The sequence below is a fragment of the Homo sapiens genome, chromosome 14 (genome assembly GCF_000001405.40).
Source record: "Homo sapiens chromosome 14, GRCh38.p14 Primary Assembly".
NCBI classification, from domain to species: domain Eukaryota; kingdom Metazoa; phylum Chordata; class Mammalia; order Primates; family Hominidae; genus Homo; species Homo sapiens.
The window spans coordinates 78,167,518-78,179,555 of record NC_000014.9 but is presented as its reverse complement, the minus strand read 5'-3'; the positions used below and the strand labels follow the sequence as shown (position 1 = coordinate 78,179,555).

General features: G+C 47.7%; 1 protein-coding gene and 1 pseudogene across 51 annotated transcripts in view; one reads left to right on the top strand and one right to left on the bottom strand.

Moving 5' to 3' along the window:
- Positions 1-9,183, bottom strand: part of NRXN3 (neurexin 3) — a 1,697,919-nt gene extending 1,688,736 nt beyond the window's left edge. For all 51 annotated transcript variants that reach the window (NR_158973.1, NR_158975.1, NR_158974.1 and 48 more), the window contains exon 1: positions 8,882-9,183. The gene's annotated coding sequence lies outside the window, so the exon portion shown is untranslated. The remainder of the gene's footprint in view (positions 1-8,881) is intronic.
- Positions 1,635-1,753, top strand: RNA5SP388 (RNA, 5S ribosomal pseudogene 388; annotated as a pseudogene).

Genomic DNA, 12,038 nt, shown 5'->3' with positions numbered 1-12,038 from the left:
CACTGGAGAATGCTGACTCCAGCTTGGGGCCCCTCTCAACCGCTCCCCATTTGCCACACTCCATTTAGCTCTGGCAATCCAATTCCCTTTCCTCCACCCAGAAATCGATGTTTAATTAACACATTATTGGAAAAAATAAACACAGTCTTCAATGGGACTGCAATGAAGCTGATGCAGCTCAGCCTAGGGGCTGCAGACCATCCTCTCAGTCAGAAAACTGTTCTTCTCCTATTCCCTGCCTCTCCACCAAGAAAAAGTTCCTTCTTCCTCCCTGGAGTCCTCCAGCCTGGGGGATCCCGCTCATTCCCTCTGTGCATCCTCCCTGCCTGTATCTAGGCAGCAGACCTGGCATCCCTTCCCACCCTTTATCCTGTGACACAGATGTAGGGGGATGTTGTCAGTGCACATGTTCCTGCTCCACGGGGGAAGGAGGTAACTCCTTCTGAACATCCCGCCTCCACCAGTGAGGCTGTGCATGATCCCATCTCCTCCTTCTCTCCAGGCCAGAACCAGCACCCCTCCAGCTCAGGGGTCAGCAGGTGTCTTCCCCTGTGGGTGTGGGGTAGAGGCAGGCCTAGAGGTGGCTGATAAGGATGATGATCCCCAGAGTTCCTATCCAGACCTCAGGAGCTGATTGGAAGACCTCTGTCTAGAGTATTTCCTCTTTTACCCCCAGTTTTAGATGATCCAATTCCCAGCTCCTCTTCTCCATGATTCAGGATGGAGGGTGGTGCAGAGTCCCTGGATTCAGACCCAAGTGTGGACCCAGGATCTCACTGTGTAATCCTAAAAAAGCGATTTAACCCCTCTGATCACCAGTTTCCTCAACAGATAAATGAGGACACTACCCACCTAAGTGAAAAATAGCAGAGCATGATGCCCTGCTCAAAGCAGGTGCTGGATAATTGTCCTTTCACTGAAATCTCACGCTGAGGGCCAGTCCCTGCTGCAAGGGCCATGGGGAGTGTGGCTGTCCCATGCAGGTTTAGGGCGACACAGCAAAGCAGAGACAAATAGGCTTCAGGTTCTCTACCTTCTGCCCACCTATCACCACCCCAAATCACCTCAACTCCCTCCTCAGACAAGGTGCATGAAGCAAGGAAGAAGGTAACGGGGACACCTTGGGAAACAGAGTTTCCTTAGTGCCATGCAAAAGACAACCAGCAGCATTACTCCTAAGCAGCAGTGCTACAACCAGCAGCCCCCTCCTCCTAAGCCTGAAATGCCTCTAACTGACAGCAGCACCTTCAGCAAGTCCCAGAGCTGTGAGTCAGCTGACTGCCTGGCAAATGGGCCAGCTCTTAGAATCAAGTTTCCAGACTTGCGGAACCAGAGGACAGGCCCATGGAGGTGGTACGAAACAGTGGTTAAGACCAGAGGCTTCAGAGCAGAGCCAGGCCCTTTGGGTTTGAATCATGATGTCATCACTTCCTACCTGAGTGGCCTTGGACATGTTACTTAACCTCCTTAGGCTTCAGTTACTTCATTTGTAAGACAGAGATGATAACAGTACCCACCTCACAGGATTGTTGGAGGATTATGTGAGATAATGCATGTCAAGTGCTTAGCATAGTATCTGGCCCATAGTCAGGTCTCAAATATTGGCCAATCGAAGCTTTAGTAAAAGTAGTTGGGTTTACAGCCATACCACCCTGAACATGCCCGATCTCATCTGATCTCGGAAGCTAAGCAGGGTCTGGCCTGGTTAGTTCTTGGATGGGAGTAAGAGTAGTTGAGAGAGAAGTAGTAGTCATGTTGGTAGTAGGAATACTCAGAAGATCCAGGTTTTTATCCTTCAGAAAGTGGGGGTAAGTGAAAGTAGAGCTGGGGAAAGGCTGTACTCTCAGTCACCTTCCTGCCCTAAAATTGGATTTCTCTCTCTAGTATGCCCCCTTCCTCTCTCTATTCCTTTAAGAGAAAGTGTGTGATGTCGTCTTAAAGAAGGATGGCCATATATTTTATCATCCAAACCGGGACACTTTTGAGAGTTACTAATTACACTAGGACAAAGGCCTAAACAGACACTGTCTCCCCACACCAGGGCGTCTGGCTACACCATCTCAAGGTCATGCAGAAATGCATTCATGCTCTGCTTCAAGGTCTTGGCTAAAGGTAAGACTTCCTTGCTTCTCAGAATCCAATTTTCTCTGGCCCCACCCCACCCCTGAAAAAAAAAACACACATTCATACTTGTCTAGAATGTCTAATCCTTCTCCCATTCAAGGTCAAGACCAACCCTAGAGTGGAACAGAGACACTGGTAGAAGGCCTTCACCCATATTGTATGACATCATGCCCCCCAACCAGCCTCTGGAAACACAAATGAAGCACACTGGGGCCAATGTCTGGATTCATGCTTCCCTTCGTGAGAAAGAAGGCTAGGCCAGTCTAGGAGAAGTGACAGGCTCCCAGAGTCGTCAGCATCCAGATACCAGCTGCTTGGCTCTCTGAATGGAGCCTCTGCTGGACCTGAAAGTACCCTTGACGGGCAGGGCTATATGGGATTGAGAACCTTGAGCACCCCACTGGAATGGGGGTCCTCCTCCATTCCAGTTTCTCCTCCCCCAGGAAGGTCAGAAGACAACCTTAACCACCACTCAGCTGGAATATAGCCCACCAGTCTTCTTCGAGCCATGAAACCCTGACCTCTAGCTCTGCAAGTGTGCCTTCCTTAGAGACACACCTACCACCCACCTGCCCCACCAAGACCTCACTCCCCTCTGAAGAAAGAGAACTAAGAAGGCACCCCAGGCAGCCCCCACAGCAGCAGCTGCAATACCCTTGGAAAAGGGCCCACAGCCCACCAGGCAGCATGATGGAGTAGAAAGAGCCCTACCCTGGCAGCCAGGAAACCTTGATTCTAGTTTTGTCTCTGCATCAAACGTGGTGCATAACTTTGGAAAAGCCATGTAGTCTCTCTGGGCCTCCATCTTGTCATTTGTACTTGAGGGCACTGAATAAGATGACAGATGATTCATCTCCCTTTTTCCTCTAACACTATAACATAAGGGTCCCATGCTTGGGCTCTGGCATGAGACAGATCTGAATTCAAATCCTCGATCTGTCATTTTATTAGGTAACTTTAAGTCTCAGTCTCCTCAGGTAATAATAGTATACTGCATTGAGTTGTTTGGAGAATTAAATGAGATACCGAGTGTTAAAAAAAAAAAAAAAAAAACTTGGAAGAGAACTTTGTAAATAGTAACTACTGCAGAAATGATAGCTATATCACGACTATTACTACCACTACTATGATGATGATGAGAATGGTGATTACTAATATTAGAGGGATCTCAAAGGAGGCAGAGTCATCTGAGCCAGGGATAGAGAAGCCCTTTCTACTAAACTACTGAAGTTGAGCATGTTGCAATTCCTCCAGCAGATCTAGACATTCAGGCAGGGCTAAGACAACCAGAGGCAAAGTCCACCCTTCCCAGAAGACAGGCCACAAGTGCTAGAGAAGAAAACTCCAACACTAAACCCATGTGGTTCTTTCCTCCAATCGACAAACATTTGTTGAGCACCTACTACGTGTCAGGAAATGTCCTACGCACTAGGAACACCACAATGAACACAAAGTCCTTGACCTCTCAGAGCTTGCATTCTAGAGGGGTAAAGAGACGAGATCCATCTTAAATGTTTCAATATATCATCGTATAATATAATATTAAATAATGATTCACCGATTAAAATTAAAGACAGTGTCATGGGCTGGAAAGCAGCCAGGAGGTTGGGGTAAGGGGACTATTTTAGAAAGCTGGTCAGGAAAGGTCTCTCTGAGGAGTATAATTTGAGGAACAACCTGCAGGAAAGGGCTGGGAGTGGGCCCCATCCATAGTCCCTGCCCCGAGCTCAGCATGGCCAACCTGCCCCGAGCCCAGCATGGCCACCTGTGGCTGGCCCAGCCACAGCACCGCACTTGCTTCATCCTCAGAGCAACAGAGCTGGCCCTCAAGGCTCAGAGCTGCAGCGCAACAGTTCTTCCCCCAGCAGGTCCCGGACCACAGCAGGAACCGGACCACAGCAGGAACCGGACCACAGCAGGTCCCAGACCACAGCCGACCACGGGCCAGCACATTTCTAGGCAGTGAGGTTTTAGAAGGAATGCTTCTTCTTTTGCAAGTCTCCTATCCACACCTGAGGGGTCATGTAAGGAGAACACGGCCGGGGGATACCAAGAACAATCTCTTCTCTGCATTGGGCACAATAATTTACCCCCAAGGCATCCTACTCCCCATTTATCCCCTTTCTCTGGCAATGACGTAACCCTGTCTCCCTAACTCCTCAGGGTCAGCCCCAAGAAGGGAGAGGGATGCTAGAAAGGTAAGACCATCAGCATTTTGCTCTGAGGATTTTGTGATTTTTTTCTTTTAGGCAAAATGTTTTCCAATTTCACTTATAATTACTAATAAAGAGAGACACACCTTCAGCTGAAGATGGGAAAATGGCGTCCGGTAGTTAAGGCAGCCAGAGCCCAGGAGAAAACAGGGGCTGGGCTGCTCTCACGGCCGAGGGTGATTTCAGCTCCTTCAGGCTGCAGCCTCCAACAAGGCCGAGCCGCCCAAGAGGTGGCTGATGCCAGGGGAGCAAGACCACCCTCCCGAGCTCAGCCCCAGGCTCTGTCAAGGCAGCAGGGAAAACCCTCAATTTCACCCACCTCATCCCCTTCTCCCCCTTCAATCTGTATCCGCCCACCAGTCATCCATGAGCCACCCACCCACGGGTTCGCTTGGTGGACGTGGGGATCTCATTTGAGGCTTCCTGCTGGAGGCAGGAGCAGTTTCTTCCCCTCTACCCTCCTCTCAACTACCTTGAGGACTCTTCCCCACTGACCATCCCTGCTTCTTGCCTTCCTTCCCCGTCACTACCACACCTGTCCAGAGCCACCGTATGAGGCTGGATACGCACATATCCAACAAACACAGCCACACCACACAAAGAGGCAGGCAGCCTCCTGCTTGAACCACACGCACAGTGTTGACAATCCTATGTTGTCCAATTGGAGGCACGCTGGTGCTTGACAAAACACAAACACCCTTCCAGTCCCCACCCGTAAACCAACACAAAGGCCACCAAGAATTTCAAGACCCAGAATCATCTGTAGAGAGGAGAACTGGGTCGGACAAAGACATTGTTCCATCCTCCCAACTAACCATCACAACTCTCTGGGATATTCTGCAGTGCCCTCTGGTTCGACACAGCCCACTGATCAGAGCTGTGCGTGTTGGTGTGTGTGAGAGAGTGTACACATGTGTATGGGGGAGGGGGCTGTGGCTCTACTGTCCAGGCATCAAATCTCCCCGGAGGTAACCCCGTCAGACTCTGCCTCCCCCACATAACCTTCCTCCAATGTACCGCAAACATATATTTCATGGATGGTTAAATTGGATCATTATCACTGGGTGCTTATTTGGTCAAAAAAAATTATTAATGTTATCTACCCCCATTCCAATCCCCTGCTTGTGAGGTCCCCTCCCACAAAGACTCTCCAACATGCTAATCCCATGAACTGCGACACACGACAGCTTTAGGGAAAGAATAATGGCGAGAAGAAAGAAGACCGCGGTTGCGGAGAGGAAAAGAGGCTCTAACGTGACCGCAGTCCCCATGCAAAGATGGGGGGAAGGAGCCATGGTGGAGGTAGAGTGGGGAAAGAGGTTAAGGGGAATGAAACCAAGCAAAATGAAGCCCTTGGCGCCTGTGTATGTGACAGAGACTGTGTGTGCAAGAGCGTATGCCAGTGTGTGTGTGGATGTGCCGACTTTGCCCTCCTATCAGAAGGCTGCATCCGTGTGGCATGTAGGAAAGGCCATCGCACGACTGTTGTGTTGCAAAAAAAAAAAAAAAGCAAGGAAAAAGGGAAAAAAGAGCCGCAGAGCCATCAAAATCAGAATTTTTTTCATGAAGATGGAAAGGGCTGGAGGAAGGGGGGGTGCGCCTAGGGTGGGGGGAGCAGTGTGTGGAAATAGAAGGCAAGATCATGGCAGAATTGGGGGAGGATGGAGGGGGAGATTGGTGGTGGGATGAAAAAATTTCACACACACACAGAGACACAAGCACACACAATGCCCAGACGCCAACCCGACCGCTCCACTGTTCATCCAAGACTGACAACCCGTCCCCCATCTCTCCGCTGCCTCTCCATGCCCCCAAAGCTGGTGCCGATGGATTTCTGTATCTCAGTTTTGCAGCAGTGGGCTAATTACGACCAAGCCCCCTCACCAAATTAACCCCTCCCTTCCCTCTCTCTTTTTTTTCTCTAAAAGGCCAATTGAAGAATAATGTGTTTTTATAGATAATGGATTTTTTTTCCAGGAGCGAGAGAAAGGGGGGTGCAGAATAGAAATTCTGCAAACCGGTGACTTCCAACCTCACCTCCGTCTCCCCCCACATCCCCGTTTGCTGTAGCATCTCATCTACCGTTCTCCCACCATTCTCTCATCCCCTACCACCCAAAAGAAAAGACCTTCCTACCATGCACATCGACAAACACACCAACCGCCACCCAATCTCAGTAGCCGATCTCAAAACCCCAAGCATCAGTCCACCTCAATACATCCTTTCCCTTATATAAGCAGCAAATCATCAACATAGTCAGGAGAAACGCAGCACTAAAATGAAATCAACAAAAACGGAGGCCAGAACGCCGTCAAAACCCCAATAATTAATAATAGGGAACTACCAGAGAAGCAAAGACGTAGCTGTCTCTCAAAATCTAGAATCCCTTTAATTTCTGCCCCCTCCTCTTCTCAAGAAGCAATTTTTTTTAAATTATTATTTCACTAGAAAGGGCCAGAAAGCTCCAGAAAAGGGCATTCGCACAGTCCGGTTGTTTTTAAAAAATAAACCCAGCCCTGTTGCTCACTTTAATAGCGAACTTCCAGTGTCCAGCCTTTTCCCCCCCTTCCAGAAGGAAGACTGACTCGCAGGATGAACCTCAGGCTGCAGAAAATGGGCCAAGAGCCCTTACTCCACTCCCCAACAACAACAAAAAATCAAACAATAGGAATATCTGCACAACCAGCACCCGTCTGAAATATCGTTTGCCCCATATGACTTAGGCAGATTAAGCCCGAAGATTAAAAAATAAATACCAGCCTTGCCTCCTCTCACTCCCCTCCATCCTTCCGCCACATACCCAGTAGCCCTTAGGTAAACTTGCCCATCATAACCAGCGGGACCATTTTAACTTGAAAGGCGATGCAGAAGCCCTTGAACGATGAAGGAAGGCTCTACCCAGAACGGCAAATTAATAAAGAGCCAGTTCTCCAGCCTCCCCAGACTAACCTCCAGGTGCCCCCAGATAGACTATCCTGGGTACCAAGTCACGCAGCGTGCTGGGAGTTCAAATTTCCACTGGAACCTTCATCACAAAGGCAAACGGTCATCTGACCCCCAAAATTACACCATCCTCCAGGTGTGACAAGGAGTGCCCCCTCTCCCTCCCAGGGCCATCCACAGGACCCAGCGGAGAGGAAGAAAGAAGAATGTTGGGGTGGCTTGTAGTGGTAAAAGAAAAACTATCTCCCCAAAGCGGGAACCGAAGGAAGCGGGGAGAAGACAGCTCTTGTCCTACCAGCTCTTTTATTTGCCCTGACTCTATCTTGCTCCATCCTAAGCTAGCTCTCAATGATCTCTGACCTTTGCATTAAAAAAAAAAGTATTAACAATAAAGATCAGAGAAGAGCAATCCTACTTTACCTAAACCCCAATAATGGTTAGCAAAAATATGATGTTCTCATTGCATGATGATATTTCTACATCCAAATTAAAAGAGGCAGACATTTAATGGAGGAAGGGAAAATTTTATTTTTTTTTAACAAGTAATCACAGGGTAAGTCACCTGCAAAGCAGCCGAGCCCTTAGGTTGGTATTACATCACTGGCCTAAGAAGGGATGGGGGGTGGGGGGACACATTTTTTTCCTTGTCATCAGGATGATGTTTCTAAAGCAGTTAAGTTTTGTGGTTAAAAAAGAGAGAGGGAAAGAGCTGAAACTCTGGGTACAGCACAATGCCTGGAAAAAACAATACATCGAACCAGGCTTTAAGGTCACTGAGAGCTTGCAAAACCCACAGTGCTTACACAGAGTGGAAGTTTTCAGGCAAGCCTGCTACTAAATCATTAATATAAACAAATGGAAGGCAGTGGAGGAAGATTCCCTTGTAACCGATCCAAACAGGAGCACACACCCGCGCACACACACACACACACACTCACACACACACTCCCTTTTCACCTTCTCCAAGTATGCCCACCTTCACAAGACAGGAGTCCAACCTGAATTTTTAGACTCTAGGACCACCTCCTCACACCCCCTCAAAAAAAAAAAAAAAAAGCACACACACACTCACATACACGTCAATTCCTCAACAGCTAGGGAAATCCCTGTCTCAATTCAATTTTGTTTTCTTGTGATCCTCAGAGTGTCCTTTCTGTTTCTCATTTTAACCAGCCCAAATAAATAAATGAATAAATGAGGGGGGAAGTGACTACAAAATGTCAAAAAAAAAGTATCTGCCCAAAATGAAGTGATGAGCACACATCATTTCAGACTAACAATTCAAGCAAATAGGAGAAAGACTCAAAAAAAAAAAAAAAAAAAGAAGAAGAAGATAAAAATCTAAAACATTCTCTGACTTTTCCAACATCTGGAGGAAAAGGACCCAACTTCCAGGAGAAACTGAAGGAAAAGAAAGGCAGTTGAAAAGCCATTTCCACAGTCAGCCAAGGCTCATGGATACAGTATTCAAAAAAGAAAATCTAGGTTGGTTGCTCCCAACTGAAAACTTCTACCCTCTCAGGAGCAACCTCTTCCCAGAACGGACAAGAACCTTGAGTTGTTTCATGCCCTGACTGCCTTCCTTTCCCCGCAAACCTTACCTTTCCAGTTGAACAGAAGATTTGGGATCTGTCTGTATGTCTGTTTGATGTTTAATCAACTGAGTTTGCTGGGTATGTTTCCTCTTTGGGTAGGTTCAAATTCCAGAATCTTTCTCTCTCCTTTTCCTTTCTCTCTGGGAGGGAGTGGCAGGGTAGAAGGGAGGGGTTGTTGGAGGTGCGAAAAGCAGGTCCTTGGTGGCTGGAGATGCCGAGGCTGAGAGAGGGGAGGACAGGTTGCCTCTCCCTCTCTGTGAGTTGCATGCAAGAGGCGATGTGTAGGGCTGAGCGCTGAGCCTGAGACTGCTGGAGGAGCCCAGGAATTTCACGCACTCCAGAGCCGGCCCCTCCCTCTCCCACACAGACCCCAGCATTTAAAGAGACAGACAGGCCGCCTGGCTCAGGGCTTCACCTCCTCCCTGACTGTTTTGCAAACAGCTGAGAAGATATCATGAGGGAGGGGCAGTTTGCAGCCCCCACAACTAAGAGGCAGTGTCTGAGCTCAGTTCTCCCCTTACTCCAGCCTGAGAGGAGAGTTCTTCCCTAGAATCAGAGTAGGAATTAATATAAAGACAAAATTCTTATTTACAGCTTCAGTAACCAAACCACTTCCCCACTGCTGAGGATGTGTGTGTCTCCTTGCAGACTGAGGGACTCTAACCTACAAGTGTGCCTCAGTTTCCCTGAGTAGTTGCTCTTCCTTGCAAAATCAGGGCAATCTTTGAGCATCTAGTGGAAGTCAGGGCTGTAACTAGGACACAAATCTATTCCTTCAACAAGCACTTTGAATGCCTGCTTAGGATGAAGCATACTGCAAGGGGCTGGGGACATAGAAATGAAAGTGACAAATGGGGCTTCCTCTCTCAGAGCCCCTAGCAGCAAAGACAGACCCAGGCACAGCCCATCCTATCCTAAGGGGCTGCCAGCTAAGGGTCAGAGGCCCGAATCAAGTGTTTTGGTGACTCAGGAAGATGGCTCTCTTTTGTGGCTTGCACTCTGAGCTCTGAGCCTAGACTGCACCCCTAAACCCTTGAAAATCCCTTGCCAGCCTTGACAAACTAGTTCATGTCTGTGGAAACGTTTCCCCAGTCAAACCTAAACAAGAGATGACAGTCGGTGGCACCCAATACAAAGGTTTTGCTCAGCATCAGGCCCTGGCACCTTATGTGAAAATGCAGCCCCAAACTCCTTTCTTCTCCAGCTCCCTTTTTAAGGGCTGCACTGGCATGTCCTCCCTTGGACCAGCACCAATCCACTAATAGCTGTTGAGCACTTACCATATGCCACTACGTGGGTCATCTCATTCAGTCCAGTGAGGTTTGTGCTATTTGACAGTTGAGATCCATTCCACAGTCTTAAAAGTTGAAGCTTTAGAGAGGGTGCCCAAGGTTACACAGCTGGAAGCTGCTAAGAATGAATTTGAACTCAAGTCTATCCCACTCCAGAGCCTGCCTGTTAGCCACAGTACTCTATTGCCTCCAGCCAAGGATGGTAGTTCTTATATTTCTGCCCTTTACTGGATGTTCTTGCAGCATCCTAGCACTTTCCTGACCCAGCAAACTTTAATAGCACATGTACCCGGCATCATGCTCATGAGAAACAAAATGAATCTATCAAGGTCTGAACCCCAAGGACTCCACTAAGCATTGGAGGAGGACAGAAATGTGTTTCTATAAAGCAAAGGGAAAATAATCATGAGAGCAATGTAAAGGAAGCTCTATGGGATTGTCGATAAGCAAGTGATTAATTGTGATTTGGAGGTGGGGGATATCAAGGCAAGCTTGGTGGACTAAAGTGGCATCTGGGCTGGGACTAGACGGACATATGCACTTCCATCATTACTAGCCTACTTTTCAGTCTATTTTGCCTTTCAGATCACAATCTCATTTTCTTATGTGTCTTCGGGTCTCCAGCCTTCAACACCTCCACGGTATCCAGTAGTTTTAGGAACACAAACGAACATGCCTTCATGGATTAATTTTATATGACATCTGACCTCCCACCTATTTACTCTAGACCTGAACTGCCCTGGCCACCAGTTCCATATCCTCCTTACCTGGCCTTCCTAGAAGTCTCTGTACCAAATTTGTCCACAGAATGTGGAAGGGAAGTTCAGAAGGCACAGTGCATGGGATTGCTCTAGATGTCAGGAGCTCCTGAGGGAAGAACCATGTAAAGGAGCCACCATGATCCAGCAGGACATCGGGAATAGCCAGGGAAACTGTACGCTCATCTCGGGGGCAGCAGGAAGAGACCTGAAGGACCTAAGGGATGAGAGGGCGGAAGCCTCAAGGGAGAGCCTGAGGACTCAGTGCCCTGCAGATGTCAGCGCCTGTGGGATTCCTGTGGCAAACACCAGCCTAGGAAGGACATCCCCGTGAGAAGTGCGTCTGCAGAACAGCCTAGAGGTTAAGGGACACGCCTGGATTCCAATCCTTTCTGGGCCACCTAAATTCCTTGTGATTTGAATAACTTTCTTTACCCTCTCCAAGTCTTAGCATCCTCACCTATAAAATGGAGGTAACACCTGTACTTACTTCACAGAGTTGTTTTGAGAAACAAGTAATAAAATACCCGTAGGATGCCTGCCCCACAGAAGTACTCAACAGATGTTCGCTACCCCAGCCCACAGGTCTGCATTTGCCCCTGCATGGGATTATTAACTTTGGACTGCCCCCTATAGTTGGCATTCCTTTATTTCAAGTTATTATATCCCTTTTAATAATTTAGCTTATTATTTAGGGTATCACTGTAGTCACTATTATTTACTTCATTTTACCCCCTTGATGTCTAACCTACTTTAACTTATATATTTTGAATATATTTGTTATTATCATTTTATTCTGCTTTGTACTTTCTTAGGCTCCTTAAGTGTTATTTATCTTTCAATTACTCCAGTTGTATCCTTTTAGTTTGCCTTTTATCATGAAATCTGTGGGCTTATTTTGTCTCATTCCTCCATACCATTTTAGTTAACTACCATTCGGCTCTTTCTAGTGATCCAGCATTCCCCAGATAGCTCCAAATTTGTGAAGATGGTTATGTACAAAATAGCAGGGAAAGACAACATCAAAGAGAGTAAGATGGGTCTCCTTGCAGACGTGTAATGCAACCATAAGCAAAAAGCAATATCAGTTGTTTGCCCAAATGATGGTGCCAT